The 6671-nt window shown below is 57.1% G+C and overlaps 1 protein-coding gene across 28 annotated transcripts in view; it reads right to left on the bottom strand.

The window, feature by feature from the left end:
- Positions 1996-6671, bottom strand: part of LMNA (lamin A/C) — a 57509-nt gene continuing 52833 nt past the window's right edge. For 11 of the 28 annotated variants that reach the window (NM_001406983.1, NM_001406991.1, NM_001406993.1 and 8 more), the window contains 7 exons: positions 5956-6176; positions 5641-5863; positions 5049-5156; positions 4845-4964; positions 4334-4423; positions 3320-3589; positions 1996-2997 (listed from right to left, as the gene is read on the bottom strand). In NM_001406983.1, the coding sequence (NP_001393912.1) occupies positions 2971-2997; positions 3320-3589; positions 4334-4423; positions 4845-4964; positions 5049-5156; positions 5641-5863; positions 5956-6176 (1059 nt within the window). In that variant the 3' untranslated portion in view covers positions 1996-2970. Of the gene's footprint in view, positions 2998-3319; positions 3590-4210; positions 4424-4844; positions 4965-5048; positions 5157-5640; positions 5864-5955; positions 6217-6671 lie in introns of those variants that run through there. The other 17 variants (NM_001282625.2, NM_001406984.1, NM_001407002.1 and 14 more) reach the window with 6 other exon arrangements.

The following is a 6671-nucleotide window of genomic DNA, read 5'->3' as shown; positions in this document are numbered from 1 at the left end:
TAAGCCACCCAGTTCAAGCGATCCTCCTGCCTCAGCTTCCCGAATAGCTGGGATTACAGGCATGCACGACCACACCCAGCTAATTTTTGTATAGTAGAGGCATTTTGCCACATTGGCCAGGCTGGTCTCAAACTCCTGACCTGAGATCCGCCTACCTCAGCCTCCCAAAGTGCTGGGATTACAGGCGTGAGCCACTGTGTCCATCCCTTACCTGTGTTTTGAATTTTACCATATGATATGTATTTTTGTTGTTGCTGTTGCCCAGGCTGGCCTAGAACTCCTGAGCTCAGACAATTTTCCCGCCTCAGGCCAGGAGTTGCTGGGACTACAGGCGTGCGTGCCACCACGCTAGGCCAAGCATGTATTACATTTTAACAACAACAACTTTTTTTTTTTTACATAATGAAATGTGGCTGCTGAGTGCTGACTTGTGCTGTGAGCATCATGTGAGGTGACCACGTGTGTGGACACCTTAACTGCTGAGTCCCCGGCTGCCGCCCCCGCCGTGCTGCCAGCTTGTGGGGCAGTGTTTGTGTGCGGCCCTATGCCCTCAGCCCTCCTCCTCAAGAGCTAGGAACGTTGCCTGCTGCCCCTGGTGTTCCCCAGCCCACAGTGCCCATGCAGCCAGCTCACCAGGGTTCAGCTGAGTAGCGAAGGACCCCTACCCAGGATGTGCAGGCACCACCGTGGTGGGGCTCTGGCGCCCCAAGGTGCCCGACCCAGGAACTGCAGGTGGGAGTCCTCATTTTGGGACACACGGACTCCCTCGCTGACATCTAAGACCCCATATCTGCGGGGCCTCAGGGTCTTTGCTGAGGCCTAGGAGAGGAAGGGTTTCCTTCTTGGAAACTGCCAACCCAAGCAGGGACCCCTTCCTCAAACCTCCTTCCGCTTAACTTCCCTTCCCTAAAGGCACTGTGGGGTCTCAGCCTATGGTGGAATCAGGAGCGTCCAGCATGACCTCAGGGGCCCTTCTCCTCTCAGTAATTTTGCTTTCTCACATGTTTTCCCACGATCCCAGCCAGACATGCCCGTTTCTCACTGACTCTTGACTGCAGGCTCAACTCTGCCCAAGGAACATAAATAAACTTCCAGAATCTTGGGATCTGTGCCACCTTCGAGCTGAGTGGCCTGAGTTCCAGAGGGCTGGGAGACAATACCTACCTCTCAAGACAGTACGAAGGCCAAATGAGATGCTGCAGAAATGCTTTGGAAACTAGGAAGGGCCAGAGAAAGGCTGGCTTCTATAGCTCATTTTCCCTGTTTGGGGCCCCTCCCCTCAGTCTGGGCACCTCATGCCCCCAGGTTGGAACCCCCTCGGAGGCTCCTACTTGGCCTAACATATCCCTTTGTCTGCAGTCTATTTTCTGACTCCCACTGGGGTGTAATTTCTCTGAGGACAGTGGGCATCTTGTCTTGTTCATTTCCCAATCCCCCAACCTGAGCACAACATGGCACAAAGGGACATTAACTGCTCCTTTCCTCTGCCCTCTCCTGCAGCTTCTGTTCCCTCCTCCCCGGGTGTCCTTGTCCTTACGTCCTGATATGTCACCACCCTCAGACTGGGTCTATATCATATGTCTTATATTCATGCTTCGCTCAGGGCCCAGCACAGAGAAAGCACTCAGTAAGTGCTGGTGGACGAGGGAAGTTAGTTAGCAAATGCCCTCCTTCAGGTGCTGCTTCTCTGAAGGACTTCCGTTGGGAGAGAGCCGTACAGTGGGTGGTGATGGTTATATCAAAGCCTTCCCCCTCAGCCACCACCGAGTGCCCAGATGTGCACCCAAAGTGCTCTGATCTCTAATTGTTTCCCCTGGAGCAGGGCAGGGCTGGGCAGCAATGAGCAGGAGGATGCAGTGACCGTGCGGCGCTGTGTGTGTGTGTGTGTGTGTGTGTGTGTGTGTGTGTGTGTGTGTACGCGCGCGCATGCCCACGAGTCTGCACCTCAGTACACACAGCGACGTCCACCAACAAAGACACCACAGCAGCCAGGGGTAGAAACAACTAGTGTATTGATTTGGGGAGGAGAGAAGGGGTGCAGATGGGAAATGGGGAGGCAAGGGCTCTTTAGCGTTTGCCAAAACCACTGCCACACCCCTCCACCCCCTCTTGCCTTCCTCCTCCACGGTGGGTGCCAGCAGGCTCTCCCCTTTCCAGTGACCTCCCTCTCCCTCCTCCCAGCACCCCACTTGGCTTCAACCTCCAGTGACTGCACAGAGCCCACCCAGGGTCTAAAGCTAGGGAAGGCAGCTCAAACTCACCTTTCTTCTCCCTTCTTCCACCTCCCACCTCATTCCCATCTCTTGTCTAAATAAAATACAGAAAAGCAAGCGCAGCTGGTACCTGGGAGAATGGACTCACCCCGGGGCTGGGGGCAGGGGTGGGGACTGGGGGCGGGGCAGGCAGAGGAACCTCAGCCAGGTGTAGTGGAATCACAGCAGGCCAAGCCCAGGGGCCCGGCTCAAGCTGTCCTCTCTCTCTCTCTCTCCCTCTCGGAGGCTGGCCTGGCAGTGAGCCTGCCGTCCAGAGGAGGCTGGCGGAGAAGCCTCTATGCCTGCCTCTCAGGCACCATGTCACAGGGTCCCCGGGGTGGGGGCAGCAGCCAGGGCAGAAAAGCAGAAGCTAGCCTCTATAAAAGCACCCCTTTCCCTTGGCTTCTAGAGGAAGCCCTCTTTGGTTTTAAGGCAGATGTGGAGTTTCCTGGAAGCAGGGAAAAGGAAGGGAGGAGAAATTAGGATTGAGATAGATGAGATAGATGCTTTTTTTTTTTTTTGCTTGTGTTTTTCCTTCAGTATAAAACCACTGTAGAAAATAACTTCTCTTAGAAAAAAAAATACAGAAGAAAAAAACCAAAGGGTTATTTTTCTTTGGCTTCAAGCCCCCTCCCATGACGTGCAGGGCAGGGGGTGGGCATGAGGTGAGGAGGACGCAGGAAGCCTCCACCCCCACCCCTGCCTGGCAGGTCCCAGATTACATGATGCTGCAGTTCTGGGGGCTCTAAGAGAGAAAACAGAGGAGAGAGGTGTGAGCAGCAGGGCCTGGACCCAGACCCTCCCTCCCCTGGCCCCTAGAAGGGAGGTAGCATCTCCCCCATCCCTCACACTCCAGCCCTGCCCCTGCCCTCCAGTCTGGGGCTCAGACAAGAGGGGCAGGATGCAGAGGTGGGCTGTCTAGGACTCAGGCTGTGGGGAGGAGGCTCCCACTCCCCCGGGCTGCGGAAGAGAAGGCAGGCTCTCCCCCCTGCAAGGCCACCTCGTCCTACCCCTCGATGACCAGGGACCCGCCTGCAGGATTTGGAGACAAAGCAGAGACAACTCACCTGGGTTCGGGGGCTGGAGTTGCCCAGGAGGTAGGAGCGGGTGACCAGATTGTCCCCGAAGCTGCCACCCCCACTGCCCCCCACACTGCGGTAGCTGCGAGTGACCGTGACACTGGAGGCAGAAGAGCCAGAGGAGATGGGTCCGCCCACCTGGGCTCCTGAGCCGCTGGCAGATGCCTTGTCGGCAGGCTGCCCGCAGGTCCCGCACAGCACGGTGCGCGAGCGCAGGTTGTACTCAGCGGGGTCCCCCGAGCTGCTGCAGTGGGAGCCCTGGGAAGGGAGACAAGGCTCAGGCGGGACGGCGAGTCTGGGACTGACCACTCAGGCCCAACCAGGCTCCAGGCTCCTGCAGGCTCCCAGCCGCCAGGCAGGAAGGTGTGGTTCTGTGCCCAAGGAGCCAGCGGGCAATGGGGGTTTGGGAGGCTAGGGGCCCGGAGGAGGAGAGGGAAGACATAAAAGGGGAGAAGGCTCAGGAAGACTTGGGGACAGAGAACCAGAGCAGTGACTCTGACTCTGTTCTAGCTACTCTGAGCTTAAGAGGAAAAGAAGAGAGAACGGGAGCAAGCTTGTAGGGCAGCAGGCATGCACTATTAATTGGAGTGGAGGGGCGGTCAGGAATGAGAGAGAACATTCTTGCAGGAAAAATGAGGGAAATGAGAGGATATGCATGCAACAAGAATGGGGGAGAGAGGCAGGGCGGGCATGCCCCACGTCTGTCCTCCCCTCCCTTTCCCAGAAGACAAATCCAGACCCTTGTCCACTGCTCCCACAGGAATATTCCATGGCATCAGAAAGTTCCCACTCCCTTCCTTACCAGAGTAGGGCACCCAGACACCTGGGTTCCCTGTTCAAGGTATAGGGAGGAGAGAGAAGAAAGGCCAGGCCAGCGAGTAAAGTTCCAAAACATTCTTTAATGAAAAGATTTTTGGCACGGGGAGGCTGGGGAGAGGCTGCCCCCAGGCCTGGCTGGGTGGCCCCAGTGCAGGCTCGGCCTCAGCGGCGGCTACCACTCACGTGGTGGTGATGGAGCAGGTCATCTCCATCCTCATCCTCGTCGTCCTCAACCACAGTCACTGAGCGCACCAGCTTGCGCATGGCCACTTCCTGGTGGGGACATGGAACCAGGTCCAAGGGTCAGGGCCAGGGAAGGGTTGTACAGCATGTCTACCCCAGTGACCACCTGCAACTTTTCTTGTGGCCTGCCCTTTGTCCGGCCTGCTGCTTACTCTGTCCTCTGTGGTGATGGAGCTAAGGAACTCATTTCCACCCCAGAGGGACACTGTCAAGCTCTCCGGGTAGGAGTATGGCTCTGCCTTTAACAATCCTCACTGTCTAACTTCCACCCCTTGTGCTGTTGAGGAAGCATCTTTTGGTTTGCCTACTGGGTGGAGAAGTCTGGAGCCTGCAACAGAGAGCTCTAGAAAGGGGCCCTGAATTGGCAAACTTGGGTTGGGGGCAGCTGGCTCCGATGTTGGCCATCAGGGGGAGCCTCGTCCAGCAAGCAGCCAGGCCCAGGCCTACTTACTTCCCCAGTGGAGTTGATGAGAGCCGTACGCAGGCTGTTCCCGCAGCCCCAGGTGTTCTGTGCCTTCCACACCAGGTCGGTAGGGGGGCTGTGGGTGGCCCCAGCTCCTGCAGCCCAGATCTGGAGAGGAGAAAAGGACACTTACCCCAGCGCTCCCATCGCCACCCAAGGCCTCCCCAGAGTCCCAAGCGCCCTGCCACTCACCGTCACCACCTGCCCAGCCTTCAGGGTGAACTTTGGTGGGAACCGGTAAGTCAGCAAGGGATCATCTCCATTCTGGCGCTTGATCTGCCAATTGCCCATGGACTGGTCCTGCCGGGAAGATAGGGAAGAGGAAGGTCGGGGAGGCTCACCCAGGCTCTTGGGTGTATCTTGCTCAAAGGCCCAGCCCTCTGCCTGCCTGCAATTGAGGCCTCTCCTTCCATCTACACACACCCCTGTCACTGCCCTTCCCCCGGGGATAATAGCCATGATCTGTGGACACATACGCAGCACCAGGCACACGGATACCTTATCTTTCATCTTCCTGACAACTCAAAGACTTAGGGATCAGTATTCATCCCCATTTTACAGATGAGGAAACTGATGCTCTGAGAGGTTAAATAACCTGCTCAAGGTCTCACAGCCAAAGAGTCCAGGAGCCAGGCCTGGAACCAGAGTGTGGAGGAGATATACAGGCTCACCCTGGTCCACCCTCTGAGGGCAAGGATGTTCCTCTCTCCACATGCCATCCTTCTGTCTTGCCACTCTCTCCCTGATGCAGCTGTATCCCCTTAGACCCTGAGCAGGAGCCTACCTCATTGGACTTGTTGCGCAGCCGGACAAACTTGCCCTCCTCATCCACCTCCTCCACGGCCACGCGCCCGCTAGTGCGTGCGTGCTGTGAGAAGCTGCTGCGGCTCTCAGTGGACTCCAGTTTGCGCTTTTTGGTGACGCTGCCCCCACCCTGTGTCTGGGATGAGTGAGAGGAAGCACGGCCACGGCTGCGCTGCGAGGTAGGGCTGGGGGACAGGCGTAGCCTGGGGAGAGGGAGACCAAGTGGGGGTCTAGTCAAGGCCAGTTGCCGGCCAGAGGACACTGCCAGCACCTCCCCGACGTCTCCCCAGCCCACCTCTCCTCCTCGCCCTCCAAGAGCTTGCGGTAGGCGTGGATCTCCATGTCCAGGGCCAGCTTGATGTCCAGAAGCTCCTGGTACTCGTCCAGCTGCTGCTGCATCCTTGCCCGCATCTCGGCCATCTCCCGCTCCTTTTCCGCCAGCAGCCGCCGGCTGGTGTCCCGCTCACGGGCCAGTGAGTCCTCCAGGTCTCGAAGCTTCGCCTCCTTGGCTGCCAGCTGAAGGGGGGTGGGAGGGTTTGGTGAGCTCCCAAGGGCCCTAAGTATGGGGAAGGAGGGACGTGGGTCGGTGTAGGAGACACCTGGCTACTCTCTCCAGGATCTGCAATCAGAGCTTCCCCAGAGCCCTCATCAGAGCCAGCTCTGAACATCACAAGCTCTAAACATAGTCTTGGCTGGCAACTGGGAAGTCCTTCCCCTTGTCTAACTGAAACCTCTCGTTCTGAGGCTAGACTTTTTCTCCTGTCACAAATAGCACAGCCAACTAGAAAAATACTGATGCTTTTAACACCTCACATTGCAGAGTCCTGTGGCAACTCTGAGTTAGGGAGATTAAGAACAGCCTCCATTTTCGAATGGGAAAACCAAAGCCCTGAGAAGTGAAGGTGAGGTAAGAGTGTACAGAAACAGCACACAGGCCATCTGACTCCACATCCTGCGACCCTTCTCTGTGGTTGTGGGGACACTTTTCATCCCTCTCCTCCTCAGGAACCT

This window comes from Homo sapiens, chromosome 1 (genome assembly GCF_000001405.40).
Source record: "Homo sapiens chromosome 1, GRCh38.p14 Primary Assembly".
Classification (NCBI taxonomy): Eukaryota; Metazoa; Chordata; class Mammalia; order Primates; family Hominidae; genus Homo; species Homo sapiens.
The sequence above is the reverse complement of the archived record's forward strand: the minus strand, read 5'-3'. Positions and strand labels throughout refer to the sequence as shown.